This window comes from Homo sapiens, chromosome 7 (genome assembly GCF_000001405.40).
Source record: "Homo sapiens chromosome 7, GRCh38.p14 Primary Assembly".
In the NCBI taxonomy this organism is placed as follows: domain Eukaryota; kingdom Metazoa; phylum Chordata; class Mammalia; order Primates; family Hominidae; genus Homo; species Homo sapiens.
In genome coordinates this window covers 100,968,925-100,990,479 of record NC_000007.14, presented here as the reverse complement: position 1 = coordinate 100,990,479, position 21,555 = coordinate 100,968,925, and the positions used below count along the sequence as shown (strand labels likewise).

The 21,555-nt window shown below is 49.4% G+C and overlaps 1 protein-coding gene across 1 annotated transcript in view; it reads right to left on the bottom strand.

Moving 5' to 3' along the window:
* The window catches only part of MUC12 (mucin 12, cell surface associated), a 49,372-nt gene extending 28,457 nt beyond the window's left edge, over positions 1–20,915 (bottom strand). The window contains exon 1 of the mRNA NM_001164462.2: positions 20,791–20,915. Within this exon, the coding sequence (NP_001157934.1) occupies positions 20,791–20,857 (67 nt within the window). The 5' untranslated portion in view covers positions 20,858–20,915. The remainder of the gene's footprint in view (positions 1–20,790) is intronic.

The window sequence follows — 21,555 nt, the reverse complement described above, 5'->3', positions numbered from 1 at the left end:
GTCAGTTGAACCTGTAGATTTGAAGAAATTTTATTGATGGTGTAGACTAGCAGTCCCCAACCTTTTTGGCACCAGGCACCGATTTCATCTAAGACAATTTCCCAAGGACTTGAGCTGTTGGCTATTGGGGGAATGGTTTTGGGATGATTCAAGCACATTACATTTACCGTTAGATTCTCATAAGGGGGTGCAGCCTAAATCCCTTGCATGCACAGTTCACAGCAGGGTTAGTCCTCCTGGAAGAATCTCATGCCGCTCCTGATCCGACAAGAGGCAGAGCTCAGCTTCGCTGGCCCGCTACTCACTTCTTGCCGTGTGTCCTGGTTCCTGACAGGCCACGGACCAGTTCTGGTCTGGGGCCAGGGGGTTGGGGACCCCTGTTATAGACCCTTGTGCCTTCTGTGGAATATAACCATTTGGCTAGCGGGCAGGGTGTCACTAGATACTTTTCTGAGTCTTGACTGTAATTTGTAACTTGAATTTTTAGGGCCAGGTGAGGTGGCTCCCACCTATAATCCCAACACTTTGGGAGGCCGAGGTGGGTGGATCACTTGAGATCAGGAGTTTGAGACCAGTTTGGCCAACATAGTGAAACCCCATCTCTATTAAAAATACAAAAAAATTAGCCAGGTGTGGTGGTGTACACCTGTAATCCCATCTACTTGGGAGGCTAGGGCATGAGAATCGCTTGAACCCAGGAGGTGGAGGTTGCAGTGAGCTGAGATCATGACACTGCACTCCAGCCTGGTGAAAGAGTGAGACACCATCTAAAAAAAAAAAATGAACTTGAATTGTTAGTAGTATGGCTCTGGGTTTTCATATCTGTATGGTTGTGGAGAACTGTACTTATATGCCTCTGTCCAGTATTGCCTGCTCTTTCCACCCTAGCCACACTGGGACATGTTCATCTATCAAGGTGCTCAGGCATCAATTCCAGCAGAAGGTTGTACTCCCACAAATGCCCCCACACGCGTTCCTTTTGTTCCTCACATTCTGCATTTTGCAGACCTTATATTGTCTGGTTTACACATCATACTTGTCCATTTTCACACTGCTGATAAAAACATACCCAAGGCCAGGTGTGGTGGCTCATGCCTATAATCCTAGCACTTTGGGATGCCGAGGTGGCAGATCACTTGAGGTCAGGAGTTCGAGATGAGCCTAGGCATCATTGTGAAACTCATCTCTACTAAAAATACAAAAATTAGCCGGGTGTGGTGGCAGGCACCTGTAATCCCAGCTACTTGGGAGGCTGAGGCAGGAGAATCACTTGAACCCAGGAGGCAGAGGTTGCGAGGTTGCAGTGAGCTGAGATCGCACCACTGCACTCCAGCCTGGGTGACAGAGTGAGACTCTGTCTCAAAAAAAAAAAAAAAAAAAGAAGAAGAGGAAGAAGACATACCAGAGACTGGGTAATTTATACAGAAAAAATGGTTTAATGGACTCACAGTTCCACATGTCTGGGGAGGCCTCACAATCATGGTGGAAGGTGAAAGGCACATCTTACTTGGCAGCAGGCAAGAGAGAGAATGAGAGCCAAGTGAAAGGGGTTTCCCTTTATAAAACCATCAGATCTCGTGAGACTTACTTATTCATTACCACAAGAACAGTATGGGGGAAACTGCCCCCAATGATTCAATTATCTCCCACTGGGTCCCTCCCACAACACCACAACACATGGGAATTGTGGGAGCTACAATTCAAGATGAGATTTGAGTGGGGACACAGCCAAACCATATCTGGTCTGACAAGTCTCTCTTCCTCATCCTTGACATCTGAGAGACCCCTTTGACCTCTAACCCTGCAGCTGCCACCAACCCAGGAAAAACAGAAGAGCTAAGGCAGTCACCCGTTCCATGGACAATTATCTCTGTCCTTTCTCTCCAGATGCATTTACATACACAAGAGCTAGCCACCTCTATTAGGCCTTTCCTGCATTGCTATAAAGAAATACGTAAGCCTGGGTCATTTATAAAGCAAAGAGATTTAATTGGCTCACAGTTCTGCAGGCCGTACAGGAAGGATGGTGCTGGTGTTTGCTTCTAGGGAGGCCTCAGGAAGCTTCCAATCATGGCAGAAGGTGAAGGGAGAGCAGGCTGGTCACATGGCAAAAGCAGGAGCAAGAGAGGCAAAGAGGGTAGGGGAGGTGCCACACATTTCTTTCTTTCTTTTTTTTTTTTTTTTTTTTTTCTGGGACAGCCTGTCACCCAGGCTGGAGTGCATTGGCGCGATCTCGGCTCATTGCAACCTCCGCCTCCTGGGTTCAAGTGATTCTCCTGACAGCCTCCTGAGTAGCTGGGATTACAGGCACCCACCACTGCACCCGGCTAATTTTTGTATTTTTAGTAGAGACAGTTTCACCATGATGGCCAGGCAGATCTCGAACTCCTAACCTCAAATGATCTGCCTGCCTTGGCCTCTCAGAGTGCTGGGATTACAGGCGTGAGCCACCAAGCCCAGCCAATGCCACACACTTCTTTTTTTTCTTTTCTTTTCTTTTTTTTTTTTTAGACGTAGTTTCACTCTTGTTGCCCAGGCTGGAGTGCAGTGGCGTGATCTTGGCTCACCGCACCATCTGCCTCCCCAGTTCAAGTGATTCTCCTGCCTCAGCCTCCCAAGTAGCTGGGATTACAGGCATGCACCACTATGCCTGGCTAATTTTGTATTTTAGTAGAGGTGGGGTTTCTCCATGTTGGTCAGGCTGGTCTCAAACTCCTGACCTCAGGTGACCTGCTCACCTCGGCCTCCCAAAGTGCTGGGATTACAGGCGCGAGCCACCGCGCCTGGCCCACACACTTCTAAAAGACCAGATCTTGTGTGAACTCAGAATGAGAGCTCACTCATCACCAAGGGGATGGTCCAAGCCATTCAACAGGGATCTGCCCCCATTATCCAAACAACTCCCACAAGGCCCCTCCTGCAACACTGGGGATTACAACTCAACATGAGATTTGGGTGAGGACAAATATTCAAAGGCTAGCATCACCCTTCTTGGAACACTGCCCCCTCTACCTGGTCATCCTGCAGCCCTCGTAGCCTGCCCATGGAGTGCCTCCTGCACCCTGGTTCAGGCCCACTCAAAGGGCTACAACTGTAAAAAAAATCATTAGCTAGGCTGGGTGCAGTGACTCACACCCATAATCCCAGCACTTTGGGAGGCTGAGGCAGGCAGATCACTTGAGGTCAGGAGTCCAAGACCAGCCTGGCCAATATGGTGAAACCCCATCCCTACTAAAAATACAAAAATTAGCCAGGCATGGTAGCATGCGCCTGTAATCCCAGCTACTTGGGAGGCTGAGACAGGAGAGTCGCTTGAACCAGGGAGGCAGAGGTTGCGGTGAGCCGAGATTGCACCATTGCACTCCAGCCTGGGTGACAGAGCGAGACTCTGTCTCAAAAAAAAAAAAAAAAAAAAAAAACCATTATCTTGGCCCTGGACTGGAGGGGCTACTGTATTTTCTCTGTGCCACTTAGAACATGGGACAGTACGTGTAGGATTCCATTTTCCTATGTAAGACGGACATATAATCCCTGGCTTTCTTCATCCTGCCTATGAAATGAATCAGATTGTATATGCACAGAATCTGTGATGGAAGTGCCACCAGCCCAGGAGTTACTAGGAATTCTACAGGATGACATATAAGGGACTTCCTTGAGAGGACAGGGTGTGTGGCCTCTTGTCCCATCTGTCAATCTCCGAGATGCCAGGAGCTGCATTTTTCTCACTTGTCTCAGGAAGGCCAACCTTGGCCCCTGGCAGAGGAGACGGTTCAGTCCTCCAGAGCAGAGGCACCCTCTGCCATCCCAGATGGCCCCAGTTTTACCGAGTCATGAAAAAGACACACAGTCACAGGGAGAGGCTAGGAGCTGGACCAAGACGGAAGGCCGGGGTGCAGGGGTAGACAGAGCACTATCAAATCATTGATCAGTGCAGTTCAGGTGAAAGGCAATGATGCCTAAGATTTTTTGGAATTCTAACTTCATGAAAAAGATGGAAAAGATTGCTTGGTGTTTGGGGGAGATTTTGGGGTTTTGATGGCTTTTTTTTTCTTTTTTTTTTTTGAGACAGGGTCTCACTCTGTTACCTGGGCTGGGAATTACAGTTCAACATGAGATCTGGGAAGGGATAAATATTCAAACTATATCACCATCCTACTTCTAGGCTGGAGTAACTGCAGCCTCAAACTTCTAGGCTGGAGCGATCCTCCTGCCTCAGCCTCCCAAATCGTTGGGGCTACAGGGGTGTGCCACCATGCCCCACTAATTTTAAAATTTTGTTTTTTTTAGAGATGGGATCTTGCTATGTTGCCCAGGCCAGTCTCAAACTTCTGGCCTCAAGTGATTCTCACACCTCGGCCTCCCAAAGGGCTGGGATTACAGGCTTGAGGCACACACCGGCCACATGTTTGTTTTGAAGTCGGTGGACTTTTGTGGTTTTGCCCAATCCTCTCGTTTATGAGCTAAGTTTTGTCTAGTTCAACCTGATGGAAGTGGAGGGGCTGAGCTCCAGGGGCTGCCAAGGTGGAGGTGGGGCATCTCTGAGCCCTGAATACAAGGGTCAGAGAGGATGGCAGAGGATAGGCCGGCACCAAAGTGAGGGTGGCAGGGTTCAAAACAGGCTCACGCAGGCGTTCCTTCCCACAGGCTTCCTCCCTCACTTGAGTGAGGGACCCCTCTGGCCTCCTGGTCTCTGAGGTCACCTTCCCCAATCACCTCTCAAGAACCTCCTCTGTGTCTCGTCCAGAGGCCACCACAATCCTCAGCCACCCTGCCTTTCTGCACCCACAGGAAAACTCAGCCCTCCAGCTGAAACCGCCTTTGCAAAATTATGACTGAGACAGTGAAAGAGATCTCACATAACTGGCTCCACCTTGCTTCTAACCTCCAAGCTGTCCTTGTTCATTCTTGGGAGTAGGCTGAACTAACTTTGGAAGAAACAAAGATGGTAACAGCCCTTTCCCAAAGCAGACTTTCTTCTTGCCTGGGGACTAGATTGCCTTGGTAGGACTAACATTAGCCACAAGATTAGAAATGATGGTTTAGGAGCCATGCAGCTGGAGGCTATAAGATTTTTGACCCTCCCTAAACTGCTCCTAAAATCAGTGCTTGAGATATTTTGCAGACCCCGCACTTGATGGATCAGCTGGCACCACCCAGATGGACAAACTGGCTCAGCTGATCTTGTGGCCCCCACCCAGGAACTGACTCAGTGCAAGAAGACAGCTTCGACTCCCTGTGATTTCATCCCTTTGCAATCAGCACTCCTGACTCACTGGCTCCCCCAACCCACCAAGTTATCCTTTAAAACTCTGCTCCCCTTGGCCAGGTGCAGTGGCTCATGCTTGTAATCCCAGCACTTTGGAAGGCCCTCAATCACCTAAGGTCAGGAGTTTGAGACCAGCCTGGCCAACATGGTGAAACCCCATCTCTACTAAAAATACAAAAATTAGCCAGGCGTGGTGGCGGGTGCCTGTAATCCCAGCTACTCAGGAGGCTGAGGCAGGAGAATCTCTTGAACCCAAGAGGCAGAGGTTGCAGTGAGCCGAGATCGTGAGCCACTGCACTCCAGCCTGAGCAACAGAGTGAGACTCCATCCCAAAAAAATAAAAAGGAGATCCCACGGCCAGCAAGATCCAGACCAAACCAGTAAGGGGTAGCTCCTCAGTGCTAGGCATGTCCGTTAGAGAGAAAAAGTATCTTTAACATAACCCTGTATCATAATCAGCTCATTACAGCTCACCTACGTGGACTGCATATCATGCCTGGACTTAAGATTATGAGATGGAGGCGATGCGCAAGCACACAAAGGCCAAAGTAACTAAATGACACACCTATCAATCAAAAGGCAGATGCTGGCTAGAGATTAGACGGCCTTGGGAAGAGAAGTTAAAAAAAAACAAAAACACATAAAAAGATGAAAAGTGGTCGGGCATGGTGGCTCACAACTGTAATCCCAGCACTTTGGGAGGCCAAGGCAGGAGGATCACCTGAGGTCAGGAGTTCGAGGCCAGCCTGGCCAACGTGGTGAAACCTTGTTTCTACTAAAAATATAAAAATTAGCCGGGTATGGTGGTGGGCGCCTGTAATCCCAGCTCCTTGGGCGGCTGGGGCAGGAGAATCGCCTGAACCCAGGAGGCAGAGGTTGCAGTGATCCAAGATCATGCCACTGTACTCTAGCCTGGGTGACACAGCGAGACTCTGTCAAAAAAAAAAAAAAAAAGATGCAAAGTACACCAAACTGATGCTGATCTCACCTCACAGAGATCAGTCCGCTCTCCCCTCTTTGAGAGTGTAATACTATACGTAACAAACTTTTGCTGCTTGCTTTGCTATTTGTATGTGTCATATCCAATTCTTTGTTTGGGACACCAAGAGCATGGTGCCATCTGGTAACACTGAGATCAAAGGTAGATGTACCCCCCGCCCCTCATGGGGGCTCCTAGACCCTCAGTACAACGAGGAGACAGCAGAGGCCCACATGAAGGCAGGGCAGGGCTCAATGCAGCAGGGTGGACTTTCCTGCCTGTCATCAAGGGAGGCTTCCAGGAGGAGGTGATACTTGATTTGTCATTTTTTCCTTCTTCTTTTAAAAATGGGAGTCTCTTGGGTTTACTCATAAATTTTACTGGAATTTTTACGTTATAAAAGTAGAATGTGTCTATTGTCACAAGTCAAACAATGAAAAAGCATATAAAGGACGTTTATGGTTATCTCCATAACGACTCATGAGGTATGAACAGGGGTGGGGAGAGCTGGCATTTATTGGGTACAGAGCAGATTCCTGTACTCGCCCTATCACAGGACACATTAACTGGAACTCAGTGATTCTGTAACTGCCTAGGAATGTCTTTGCCCTTGTAGGCTGTGAACTCCGTGAGGGTAGAGAACATTTCTGCCCTGTTCAGTTGGCCCTGTAGAGGCTTAATTAGACTTTCTCAGTGAATGAGTCAGTGCATGCTGGGAAGTCTAAAGCCTGCTTTTTCTTAGTTACCAAATATAAACATCACAACATCACAACAAGTCTGCAAGGTGGACATGGCTATTTCTTTTTTTTTTTTTTTTAACGGAGTCTCGCTCTGTTGCCCAGGCTGGAGTGCACTGGCAGGATCTCGGCTCACTGCAACCTCCATCTCCCGGACTCAAGCAATTCTCCTGCCTCAGCCTCCCAAGTTGCTGGGATTACAGGTGCCCACCACTGTACCCGGCTACTTTTTGTATTTTTATTAGAGACGTGGTTTTGCCATGTTGGACAGGCTGGTCTTGAACTCCTGACCTCACATGATCCACCCGCCTTGGCCTCCTAAAGTGCTGGGATTACAGGTGTGAGCCACAGCACCCAGCCGCTATTTCTATTTTACATAGGAATCAAGGTTCTAAGGATAAATAATTTCCAAGGTCACTCAGATTATAACATAGAATTCAAGCACATTCTAAAGATGGCTTTTGACCAGGTGTGGTGGCTCATACCTGTAATCCCAGCATTTTGGGAGGCCAAGGTGGGAAGATTAGTTGAGGCCAGGAGTTCAAGACCAACCTGGGCAACATATCAAGATCCTGTCTTTACAAAAAAATTTTAAATATTAGCCCAGTGTGGTACATGCACCTGTAGTCAGTTCCAGGTACTCAGGAGGTTGAGGCAGGACAATTGCTTGAGCCCAGGAGCTCAAGGCTGCAGTGAGCTATGATTGCACCACTGCACTCCAGCTTGGGTAACAGAGAAAGACCCTATCTCAAAGAAAACAAAACAAAAAGGCCAGATGTGGCAGCTCATGCCTGTAATCCCAGCACTTTGGGAGGCCAAGGGGGGAGGACTACTTGAACCCAGGAGTTTGAGATCAGTCTGGGCAATATAATGAGACCCCATCTCAACAAAAAATTAGTCAGGCGTGGTGCTGTGTCCCTGTAGTCTCAGCTACTTGGGAGGCTGAGGTGGGAGGATCACTGGAGCCCAGGAATTCAGGGCTGTACTGAGCTATGATTAGGCCGCTGCACTCCAGCCTGGGCAACAGAGCAAGACCCTGTTTCTAAAAAAAAAAAAAGAAAAGAAAAGAAAAATGACTTTTACTTTTAGCCCCAATAAAGGGCTAGAGGAATAAAGAGGAGAAAGGGAAGGTTTTCAGGGCAGAAGAACACCATGTGTGGGGTCCCAGAGGTGAGTAAAAGTGCTCACTGTCTGTTTGGGGTGAGGGAAGACAGTAAGGCAGAGGGAAGCTAGGAAAATGGGTGTGAACCAGCCTAGAAATGGGGTTTGGACTTGACTAAGTTCAGTAAAAAGCCATGATCCCAACTGTGCCTTAGAAGCTGTGCCCTGGAGGCTGGGCACGGTGGCTCACGCCTGTAATCCCAGCATTTTGGGAGACCAAGGCAGGCAGATCACCTGAGGTCAGGAGTTCGAGACCAGCCTGGCCAACACGGTGAAACCTCATCTCTACTAAAAATATAAAAATTGGCCGGGCATGGTGGCGGGCACCTGTAGTCCCAGCTACTCCGGAGGCTGAGGCAGGAGAATCGCTTGAACCCGGGAGGCATAGGTTGCAGTGAGCTGAGATCGCACCACTGCACTCCAGTCTGGACAATAAAGTGAGACTCCGTCTCAAAAAAAAAAAAAAAAAAGCAGCAGCAGCTGTGCCCTGGAAGCCACAAGGAGAAGGGGCAATGGAGGGACAGAGGCTGGTGAGGCCAAGGCAGTGACATGGTGGGCCACTGAGGGACCCAAAGAAGGCAGGGACACTGTGGAATGCGGGGGACCATTCCGAACATACCTGCTCTCTTTTGCCTTTGTTCCTGGATTCATACCATTTTCTCTCCGATTTGTTACCATTCAGTTTGTCCTTAACCACTCACATCTCCACAACAGTTGCCCTCGCAGGTCACACCAAGCTTGAGCTCTAAGTGACCGAATCCCCATCCATCTTATCCAGCTGCCCTTCCTCTTTCTGAAATCTCACATTCAGTTCCTAGGACACCCTCACCTCCTGACGCTCCTTCTCTCTGGCTCCTGCAGCCCTTGCCTGCTCACTAAGTGGGAGCCCCAGGCTAAAGCCCTCGGCTCTGCCATCCCCGTCGTCCCCTGGGCTAGCAAACTCCACCAAGCCCAGGTTCTTCACTCGCTGCAGGAGGGACAAGGGAACCATGCTCTGGGTGAAGAGATTCAGACCCCTCCCAACCTGGGATTCTGGTGGCAACGGTGTCCCCAAAGGATGTCACAGAGCAAGTGCGGCGGTCCTTCTCCAGTTCAACCTCCAGGGTCAGGGTGCTCCACAAGGAAGCTAGGCAAAGGAAAACTGAGCTTCTTCTCCAAAGAAACTCAAATAGCCAACAAGCCCAAGAGAAGGAAAAAGCATATAAATTTCACCAGGAAGCAAAGAAATCCAAAACACAGCAAAATATGATTTCTTCTTTGTCAGTCAAAGATAGACGTCCATCATGATAGATGACTATAGTAGCTAGTGTTGGTTGGGGCCTTTTCATGTGATGTTGACTTGGCATCATAGTTCTAAAGGATAATTTGAAAATATGCATCAGGGACCATTGGAAGAGTCATACCATTTTTTTTTTCAGGAGTTGGGGGTCTCACTCTGTAACCCAGGCTGGAGTGCAGTGGCACAACCTTAGCTCACTGCAGCCTCAAACTCCTGGGCTCAAGTGATCCTCCCACCTCAGCCTCCAGAGTACCTGAGACCACAGGCCCCACCATACTCAGCTAATTTTTTACGTTTTGTAGAGATGGGGTCTCACTATCTTGCCCAGGCTAGTCTCAACTCCCAACCTCCAGTGATTGTCCCACCTCAGCCTCCCAAGGCACTGGAATTACAGGCATGAGCCACCACACCCAGCTGCTGATATCATTTTAACGATGACATTCCTAGTTATTCATCCTAAATTAATCTGATGCAGATATAAAATAAAATTTATACAAGAATGTTTATTGCCTCGTTACTTATTATAGTAAAAAACAGAGGTACACATGTCCAAGAATAGACAAATAGGGGACTGGTTATATGACTGTGGTGTTCCATAGAACAGAATAGTAATCAGCCATTAAAATATAAACCATCCATAGAATAAATCTAAATACATAGAAATAAAATGTTAACAATGTTTATCTGAATGTTAAGGTTAAGGGGGTATTTCTTCAGGCTGGGCATGGTGGCTCACGCCTGTAATCCCAGGACTTTGGGAGGCCAAGGCGGGCGGGATCACGAGGTCAAGAGATCAAGACCATCCTGGCCAACATGGTGAAACTCCATCTCTACTAAAAATACAAAAATTTAGCTGAGTGTGGTGGCACACCTATAGACCCAGCTACTCGGGAGGCTGAGGCAGGGGAATCACTTGAACTTGGGAGGTGGAGGTTGCAGTGAGCCGAGATGGCACCACTGCACTCCAGCCTGGGCAACAGAGCGAGACTCATCTAAAAAACAAAACAACAACAACGAAAAAAAAAAAAGAGAGAGAGGCGAGTTCTCAATGTGCCCCCAGACTGGAGCGCAGTGGTGAGATCCTAGCTCACTGCGCCTGGAACTCCTGGGCTCAAGTGATCCTCCCTCCCTCCTGAGTACTGGGGCTACAGACCTGCACCACCACCCCTCGTTTTATAATTTTTAAAACACAATAAATGTGTGTGAATATATAAATGTATGTGTGTACATGTATATATGTTATATATATATACATGTTATTTTACTTTATTTTTATTTTTTTGAGAAGGAGTCTTGCTCTGTTACCCAGGCTGGAGCGCAGTGGCGTGATCTTGGCTCACTGCAACCTCTGTCTCCCAGGTTCAAGCGATTCTCCTGCCTCAGCCTCCTGAGTAGCTGGGACTACAGGCCCCTGCCAGTAGGCTCAGCTAATGTATTTTTAGTAGAGATGGGGTTTCACCATGTTGGCCAGGATGGTCTCGATCTCTTGACCTCGCGATCTGCCTGCCTTGGTCTCCCAAAGTGCTGAGATTGCAGGCATGAGCCACCGTGCCCTGCCTATATACATTTTATTTTATTTTATTTTATTTTATTTTGCTTTATTTTATTCTGTTTTATTTTATTTTATTATAGGTATGCCTTATGTCACCCCTTGGAGAACCCATGGAAAATCATTCACTGGTAACAATTTCCAAGCTGGCACTCCCCAGACCTTTGTAGTCAAAATGCTTAACAAAAATTGCCTATTTGCCTACATTGCAGCCACTGGTCATTAAAGATGCCAGCTCCCTCTCCTGCTAAGCAGGTAAAGTTTGGTAGCTTTTTTCTCTGTGAGAGTAATGACATGGTATCTCATTAAATGAATTAAGTTGAGTCCTTTCTTGCCCATTTACAGTGTTTACTGCTTCTACATTCCACATGTATTTGGATTTTTCTTTAAAAAGATTAAGGTTAGGGACAATGGCTCACACCTGTAATCCCAGCACTTTGGGAGGCTGAGGCAGGAGGTTTGCTTGAGGCCAGGAGTTCAAGACCAGCCTGGAAAACATAGCGAGACCCCCATCTGTACAAACATTTAAAAATTAGCTGGGCATGGTGGTGCACATCTGTAGTCCCAGCTACTTGAGAGGCTGAGGCAGAAGGCTCACTTGAGCCCAGGAGGTCAAGGCTGCAGTGAGCTATGATTGTGCCACTGCACTCCAGCCTGGGCAACAGAGAAAGACGCTGTCTCTAAAATAAAATAGATTATTATTTAATTAAGGCAGCTGGTTTTTCAGGCAAACCTTTCACATCGTGGCATGCTTGGGGACACACATTAGAAGGTTCTTCAAGGACAAGTCTGAAGACCATCACCAAGCTTTGAAACTGTCTCCTCCTGCCACCTCCAGGACATATTTCTGCTTGTGACAAAATCAGTCAATGAAGTCCCCAGTGGCAGCTCCCCTGAAGAGGCAGTGGCAGTGTGGGGAGCCCCCACGGGGTGTGGAGGGAGGGTCCTTGCTATGTCTCCAAGACCAACCTGTACACCGCTGTGTGACCTTGTGCAATCCAGCGAACCTCTCTGAACTTCCATTTCTCCCTCGAAAATGAGAGTAAATGATGCCTGTTCTTGCCACCCTGATCACTCTAGAATATTCTACAATGTTATGGGAGGCACTGGGATGAGCTGGGGTCCCCCAGTTCTAGGTGCACATTCTGCTCTGCCACACAAGAGCTAGATAGCCTGGGTCTATTCCTTTAACATAAGCTCATTGGCTCCTGGCTGAGTTGTAGAGGTAGAGATAGAGCTGGGGCCACCCCAACCCCTGCACACACCAATGGCGGTGGATGGACTTCTTGGCTTTCTAGTGCCAGCAGGCACTGTCACTGCTTCTTAAAAGCAAGAGCCACCAGTTGAGGCTAAAGCATGGTATCGCGCATTGAATAGGATCACCCCAAAATATATCCTCGAAGTCCTAACTCCTGGTACCTGGGAACGCGACCTTCTTTGGAAACAGGGGCTTTCCAGATGTCATTAAGTCAAGGATCTCAAGATCAGATTTAGGATGGGCCCTAAATCTGCATACTTGTCAGAGAAAAGAGAGAGAGGTGTGACGTACAGGAAAGATGCCCAAAGACGATGAGGCAGAGATCGGAGTGATGTTATCACAAGCCAAGGAACACCAGGCGTCAACAGGAGCTAGAAAAGGCTGGCCAGGCACGGTGGCTCACGCTTGTAATCCCAGCACTTTGAGAGGCCGAGGCCAGTGGATTGCTTGAGCCCAGGAGTTTGAGATCAGCCTGGGCAACATAGCAAGACCCCGTCTCTACAAGAAAAAAAAATACAAAAATTAGCCAGTCTCATAATCCAGCCTCTAAATAACGAGATAAACATTTTTTTAAAAAGGAAGAAGCTGGCCAGGCACGGTGGCTTATGCCTGTAATCCCAGCACTTCGGGAGGCCAAGGTGGGTGGATCACGAGGTCAGGAGTTCGAGACCAGCCTGACCGACATGGTGAAACCCCGTCTCTACTAAAAATACAAAACTTAGCCGGGCGTGGTGGCGCGTGCCTGTAATCCCAGCTACTCAGAAGGCTGAGGCAGGAGAATTGCTTGAACCGGGAGGCAGAGGTTGCAGTGAGGCGAGATCGCACCACTGTACTCCAGCCTGGGCAACAGAAAGACACTCCGTCTCAAAAAAAAAAAAAAGCTAGAGAAGGCAAGGAGAGATCTTCCTCTAGAGAGTTTGAAGGGAATGTGGCACTCATGATGACCTTGACTTCAAGCTTCTGGCGTCCACAACTGTAAGAGAATAAATTTATGTTGCTTGAAGCCACCAATAGTGTTTGTTAATTTATTGTGGCAGACCTAGGGAACACATACACACAGGCATCCCCAATTATAGCAAGTGGTAAAAAATGGGGACCCTGGAGCTGGAAAGCTTAGGTTCAAATCCTGACTCCTCCAACTGATGAATGGGTGGTATTGAGCAATTTCTTTTTTTTTTTTTTTTTTTTTTTTTTTTTTTTGAGATGGAGTCTTGGTCTGTCACCAAGGCTGGAGCGCAGTGTCACGATCTCGGCTCACTGCAACCTCTGCCTCCAGGGTTCAAGTGATTCTCCTGCGTCAGTCTCCTGAGTAGCTGGGATTACAGGAACCTGCCACCATGCCCAGTTAATTTTTGTACTTTTAGTAGAGATGGGGTTTCACCATGTTGGCCAGGCTGGTCTCGAACTCCCGATGTCACGTGATCTGCCTGCCTTGACCTCCCAAAGTGTTGGGATTACAGGCGTGAGACACCACGCCCCACCGAGCAAATTATTTATCATCTCTGTGCCTGTTTCCCCACGTATAAAAACCCAAAATCAGTAACACATCCTTCTTCTTAGGAATGTTGTAAAAGTTAAATGAGATAATATTATAAAAGTGTCCAGCACATAGCAAACCCTCAATGAATATTTGCATTTTTTTTTTTTTATAAAGAGTCTCGCTCTGTCGCCCAGGCTGGAGTGCAGTGGCACTATCTCAGCTCACTGCAATCTCCACTTCCTGGGTTCACGCCATTCTTCTGCCTCAGCCTCCCAAGTAGCTGGGACTACAGGCACACACCACCATGCCCGGCTAATTTTTTTATTTTTAGTAGAGACGGGATTTCACTGTGTCAGCCAGGATGGTCTCGATCTCCTGACCTTGTCATCCATCCGCCTCGACCTCCCAAAGTGCTGGGATTACAGGCATGAGCCACCACGCCTGGCCGAATATTTGCAATTTTTAATACATATATATATTTTTTTATTTTTAAGAGGTAATGTCTTGCTCTGTCACCCAGGCTGGGTTGCAGTGGTGTGATCCTAGCTCACTGCAGCCTGGAATTGCTAGATTCAGGAGATCCTCTCCCCTCAGCCTCCTGAGCAGCTGGGACTACAGAGACACACCACCACACCCAGCTAACTTTTTTATTGAAAAAATATTTTTGCCCAGGCTAGTCTCAAACTCCTGCCCTCAAGCGATCCTCCCACCTCGGTCTCCCAAAGTGCTGGGATTACAGGCATGAGTGAGCCACCATGCCTGGCCCATTTTTAATATTAATATGATACTCAGACTATCGGGTCTCTATTGACTTCTCCAACTGTGGTGTGGGTGTCTCTTGGCCTTTCCACACCCCAAATAGTTATGGGTGACCCCAGCTCATCCCACTACCACCCCAAGATTTGATCTTCCCGAGGGAATCTGATTACCAATATCCCAATTCTCTCCCTAGCTCTGTGGAAGTTCAGACAATGCAGTTCTGAATTTGTCTAAGGCCTTTGAGCATCTGTTAATATAATACTTCCTTCCTGTCCTACTCAACTACCACCAAACTCAAATGCTGCCTCTCCCTGTACCCTCATCAGCCCAGGTGGAAGGGCCCCGGAGGCCCCCTCTCGTAGCTCCAGCAGCAGATTGGGCTGTGGCCTTTCTGCCCCAATCCCACCTCATTAACTCTACTATAAACTGTTTATTCACCCTGCCTTATCCAGAGCACCTGCTCAAGCAGAGCCAGCCTTTGGTGTTTGCTGAATAAGTTTATTACTCTTTGTATAAAACTGCATTCCTTGTAATTGCGTCAATTTTTACATCACTTGAGTTTCAAAGGTTGCCCCTTTGTCTATTGTGAAGCAATCTGTTCTCACCTCCACCACTCTCTTCCCAATTTTATAGGTGTTAACCATTTCCACCCCCAGCTTCACCTTTCTAAGCTAAAGAGCGCTGACCCCTTCAGACCCCTGGCCCCGCCCCTCCAGGGCAGACAGTTGGTCCCTCTCCCCTAGCCCATCCCCTCCTCGACCCTTATTAGGAACACTGTGCAACTTCATGTACATAAAACAGGATAGTGGTTCCAGTCATCGTGTGGATCCCTGGCATTTTTCTGGCATTTTCTGGCTTTTGTGTCCTCTGCAGCAGTTGGAAAAGGTAGAATTCTAGACTGTGTCCCCATTCCAGGAGCCTCAGGCCACCAGGACAGCTCCTCCCAGAAACCCCACAGTCATTCCACACTCAACAGGCCCAACTGGAGACCCTTGTCTTCCACCAAAGAGAGGCTCCTGTCCTCCCGGTCAATACAGCCTCCTGGACTGTCCATCTCCTATTCCAGGGTGGCTCTCGGTGCCTCTCAAGAGGCCTCTTTCAAACGAAGATGGTAGAAATAAAAACCATAATATCAGAGATAAAGAGTTCTTTTCTGATTTTTAAATTTATTATTATTATTATTATTTGAGACAAGGTCTCTCTCTGTTGCCCAGGCTGGAATGCAGTGGCACAATCACAGCTCACTGCAGTCTCGACCTCCTGGGCTCAAGCATTCCTCCTATCTCAGCCTCCCAAGTAGCTGGGACTACAGGCGCACACCACCACACACAGCTAATTTTTTTCTGGTATTTTTTGCAGAGACAGGGTCTCCCTATGTTGCTCAGTCTGGCCTCAAACTCCTGAGCTCAAACAATCCTCCCACCTCAGCCTCCCAAAGTGCTGGGATTACAGTTGTGACCCACTGCACCTGGCCAAAGACTTCTTTTCAACAGGATGATCAGCAGATAAGACACAGTAGAGGAAAGAATTAGTGAAGATAAGTCAATAAAAACTGAAAATAAGTCAGTTTTTATCTTCAGTCAATTGATAAGTCAATAGAAATTATCCAAACTGAAACACAGAAAGGGGTGGTGGGGATGTGTGCAGAACAGTATCCAAGAGCTGTAGTCCAATATGGAATGGCCTAACATACATCTCATTGTAGTCTCAGAAGGAGAAGAGAGAGAGAACAGGGCAGGAGAAATATTTGAAGACAATAATCACTAAGAATTTCCAAAAATAAACAAAGGGCCACAAACCACAGACATTATAGTCTGGGTCAAATTCCTGAAAACCAAAGATAAATAGAGAAAAGCTTTTTCTGAGACAGGGCCTCACTCTGTCACCCAGGCTGAAGCGTAATGGTGCAATCACAGCTCACTGCAGTCTCGAATTCCTGGACTCAAGAGATCCTCTCCCCTCAGCCTTCCAAGTAGCTAAGACTATAGGCATGCACCACTATGACTGGCTAATTTTTTTTTTTAAGAGATGGGGTCTCCCTATGTTGCCCGAGCTGGTCTCGAACTCCTGGGCTTAAGGGATCCTCCTGCCTTGGCCTCCCAAGGTGCTGGGATTACAGGCATGAGCACCACACCCAGCCTAATTTTTTTTTTTTTTTAGAGATGGGGTGTCACTACATTGCCCAGGCTGGGGCCTCCCAAAGCACTGGGATTATAGGCATGAACCACTACACCCAGCTGATGAAGAGAAAATCTTGAAGGCAGCCTGTCTTAGTCATCTTGGGCTGCCATAGCAAATACCATTGACTGGGTTGCTTAAACAATAGAAATTGGCCAGGTGTGGTGGCTCCTGCCTGTAGTTCCTGCACTTTAGGAAGTTGAGGTGGGAGGATGGTTTGAGCCCAGGAGTTCAAGACCAGCCTGGGCAACAAAGCAAGACCCCCATCTCTTAAAATAAATTTAAAAAAATAGATTTATTTCTCACAGTTCTGGAGGCTGCAAAGTTCAAGACCAAGGTGCCGGCTGATTTAGTTCGTGGTGAGCACTCACATTTTCATACCTCCTCAGCCTGTAGTAGGGGCTGGGGCAATGGCACTGGACCCATCCTAGAAGCCCAGGACAGCTCCACTCAGAAATTTCACCATCACCCCAAACTCCACAGCCTCAACTGGAGACCTTTGTCATCCAGCAAAAAGAGGCTCCTCTCCCAGTTAACACAGCCTCCTAGACCATCTATCTCCACGTCCCCCAGCCAACCATCAAGTGGAGCCCCCATTTCCAGGGGAGTTGGGTTCTCAGCTGGGCCTTCATGTCCTCCTCCCAGGATAGCTTTGGGTGCCTCTCAATGGCCTCTCTGATGCTGGTCTGCCCTACAGAGGCATCCCCAGCCCTACTCAGCCCACAGAGGTTCCTGTGATGTCTAAATATCTTAGCTTGGTCTTACTGCTCCTGTCATCCACAAATGCACCAGCACCACCACACTCTCCCCAGCAAACATCACGCTCCATCCAGCAGATGCCCCCTCATCTTTCAGGGCATTCCTGCACCGTAGCTCCCCTGCAGACCTGTGGAAATGATTTTTCTGCCTTCTCAGAGTGCTCTTCCCTTGCTCGACTGTCTGCTTCTCCAAAACCTCACCAGTCCACAATGTGCCCTGGAGTACCCAGAAAAGCGTGCAGAGAGTAGGAAGAAAAGCTACAGATGCTGGGCCAGATGCGGTGGCTCGCACCTGTCATTCCAGCACTTTGGGAGTTCGAGCTGAGCAGATTACTTGAGGCCAGGAGCTCAAGACCAGCCTGGCCAACATAGTGAAACCCTGTTCTACCAAAAACACACAAAAAAATTAGCTGAGCATGTTGGCGCACACCTGTAGTCCCAGCTACTCCAAAGGCTGAGGCAGGAGAATCTCTTGAACCCTGGAGACAGAGGTTGCAGTGAGTGGAGATCATGTCACTGCACTCCAGCCTGGGTGACAGAGGAGACTGTCTCAAAAAAAAAAAAAAGCTACAGATGCCACTGATCGTCTCTGATCTGACATCTGAACTGCTCCCCAAGGACCCAGAATCCATTCCCAGAGCAGGGGATGATTTGCAGAGAACTGGGTTCCTCTAGAGGGGTGGAGGAGCGCTGGTGGAGAGAACTGGGATCCTCTAGGGAAGGAGAGGCGCGGGTGCAGAGAACTGGGGTCCTCTAGAGGGGAGGAGGGGCGCAGGACACAAATCCACTGTCAAGTGGTGGCCGTGTTCATTATTTGCTGTGTGGACCCAGGCAAATCACTCATCCTCTCTCTGAGTCTCTACATATCCTCATCTGCCCCGACTTCCTTACACAGATCTCCTCATGAGAATTATATGAGCTACCTGCTGGGAAATGGCTTTGTGAACAGCAGAGCCCTCTGCAAGAGGAGGGCAGGGGGTCTCTGGATCTAATCAGATCTTCCGGAGCCCTCCGGAGTGGCCCTACTTGCCTGGCCTCACTCCCTTCTGCTCTCTGCACTGGCCATAGATAGATGTTTTTCTGACTGTTTTGCACACTAAGGGATTCACCTGTGTTATCTTTGACACACAATTATAAGCACCTGAGGAACGGGGGTTTTTGGTTGCTTGGGGGCCGTCTCTAACACACGGCTGGGTACACAGAGGCAATGCCACCTGCTGACTCCTGGGGCCTTCATCATCGCTGTCATCACCTCCATCACCCTCTCCTTGAATAATCTGACTACAGAGATCTGCTAGGCCAGGCCTTGGGAGCAGGGATGGGGAGGACCCCTCCTAAGACCCATCCAGGCCCACAGTTTCCCACTTCTGTAGGTGAACTTAAAGGGAATCTATGTCTTATTAATAAACTCTCATAATGTCCCCAAATCCACAGAGTTCGTCACTCCAGCCCTTGAAACTCTCCCATCAGCTCCTCCCTGCCTGTACCTCTCTCCCAACATGTCCGGGTGGGGGTAAAGGAGGTCTCATCTGTCAAGGCTTGGCGGGCAGAGGCAGCCTCGGAGGGCCTGAGTCCCTGGCTGGGAGGATGGTGGAACTTCCCTGGTGGGTTACCTCGAAGGTGTCCTGCAGGGCTCCAGAGACCCCCACCCCAGCTCCCCTGCCCCCTCACCACCCCTTCTGCCCACCCCACAGCCTTCAACTCAAGGTCTCCCTCTCTCGCCTCTCCTCATCCCTGTCCACCCCTGCCAGAAAGGAATCAGAAAGTCTGTTCTGTATGAGGGAAATCAGCGGGTCAGAGTCATCTCTCAGACACAGCCACGACCAGGCTGAGCAAGGACCCCTGAGCCTCTGTCTCCTCCTACAGCCCCTCAGCCACGGTTTGTTTTTTTTTTGTTTGTTTCTTTTTTGTTTGTTTTTTTTTGAGAGAGTCTCGCTCTGTTGCCAGGCTGGAGTGCAGCAGTGCAATCTCGGCTCACTGCAACCTCTGCCTCCAGGGTTCAAGTGATTCTCCTGCCTCAGCCTCCTGAGTAGCTGAGACTACAGGCGTGTGCCACCATGCCCAGCTAATTTTTTTTTTTTGAGACGGAGTCTCGCTGTCGCCCAGGTTGGAGTGCAGTGGCGCGATCTCGGCTCACTGCAGGCTCCGCCTCCCGGGTTCACGCCATTCTCCTGCCTCAGCCTTTTGAGTAGCTGGGACTACAGGTGCCCGCCACCTCGCCCGGCTAATTTTTTGTATTTTTAGTAGAGATGGGGTTTCACCGTGTTAGCCAGGATGGTCTCGATCTCCTGACCTCGTGATCCGCCCACCTCGGCCTCCCAAAGTGCTGGGATTACAGGCCATGCCCAGCTAATTTTTATATTTTTGGTGGAGTTGGGGTTTCACCATGTTGGCTAGGATGGTCTCAATTTCCTGACCTCGTGATCTGCCTGCCTCGGCATCCCAAAGTGCTAGGATTGCAGGCGAGACCCTGCAACTGGCAGCCATTTTTTCTTTTTTCCTTTTCTTTCTTTCTTTCTTCCTTTCTTTTTTTTCTTTCCTTCCTTCTTTCTTTATTTCTCTCTTTCTTTCTCTCTCTCTTTTTTTTTTTGGCAGTGTTTTGCTCTTATCGCCCAGGCTGGAGTGCAGTGCCACAATCTTGCCTCACTGCAAACTCCACCTACCAGGTTCCAGTGATTCTCCTGCCTCAGCCTCCCAAGTAGCTGGGATTAGAGGTGTGCGCCACCATGCCTGGTTAATTTTTGTATTTTTAGTAGAGACGGGGTTTCACCATGTTAGCCAGGCTGGACTTGAACTCCCAACCTCAGGTGATCCACCCACCTTGGCCTCCCAAAGTGCTGGGATTACAAGCATGAGCCACCACGCCTGGCCCCGTCAGCCATTTAACTGGTGGGGATTCCCCGGGTGCACCTGAGGCTACTCCAAGTCAAGAGATGATACTGTCACACACCCCTCTGGACTCCCTCTCTCCCGACCAGGGCTAGCAGCATGTGCAGTGCCTCCGTGAGGTTTGGAAAGACCCATCCCTCCAGCAGATAAAGCCCCCAGGATGAGGGCAGGCAGAGATGACTGTCTATGTGACAAAAGCCCCTTCATCCTCCCGGGGGGAGCCTGGAGAGCAGAAGCTGTGGATTTCAGCCGCCCCTCAGCCAGGAGCTGTGTGCAGACCATCCCCTGCACAACCACAGGCACCCACAGGTCTCCACAGTGACCTCTTCAGCACCCCCAAAGCAAGATGAGGTCACAGCACGGGTCTCCAGCCCTGTGGCAGCCCCTTGCCATGCAAAGGGGAGGAGGCCACCTGCAGCCCTGCTGCCTGAGGCAGGGGCATGTACTATTACCACCCAGGAGCACTGGACCTGGAGCATCAGCCCAGGAGCACTCACCTGGTGTCACTGTAGTAACGGACGCGCAGAGCCGGAGAGCCAGCGTCAGAATCCAGATCACCAGCATCTCCCGGGGAACGGGCCCCTGGCTGCCCATCTTCTCTCATCAGGAGGGACCAAGAAATGAAGGCCTCCCAGGAAGGGATCAGCTATAAAAAGGACCCCAGAGAACTTTGCCTTGAAGAAGAGCAGTGCCTGTCCCAGGGTAGAGGTGAGGTGATGGCATTGAGCAGGTAGCGCGTGGTGACCACGGGGAGTTAAACGAAGGGCAGCCTGTCCACCCTTCTTCCTTATAAGTCCTGGAGTAGTCACTGCCCTGAGCCGGGGTCCCTCTCTGTCAGCGGAAGTCAGAGGCACTTTGGGTGGGGCAGCGCAGGAGGGAGGGAGGGAGGCTAGAGGTGTGAGCACACCACTGGTGACAAGAGGTGGGGGCCAAGAAGCACCAGGAAGCGGGTGACCACGGAAGAAGTTCAGAACCGTGGAAGGGGCAGCTGGCAACAGGCCAGACCAAGTGAAGGACCCTCCACTCCCACCCCCGAGAAGCCCCTCTCTCTTCCAGCCAACCTTCCCCATCCCCTGCCTCAACATGGTCCTTGCCAAATGTCCAGGGCTTTCCCTGGGGTCCCCAGTTTCCAGCCCTTCTCCTGGGCAGAGGGCCCACTCACACCTGAGACTTTATGGTCCTTGTCCCCACCCCTGGCCAGACACAGAGGTGACAAAAGGCCATGGCCCATCCCTGCCCAGAGAAAGCATCAAAGGGGCCTC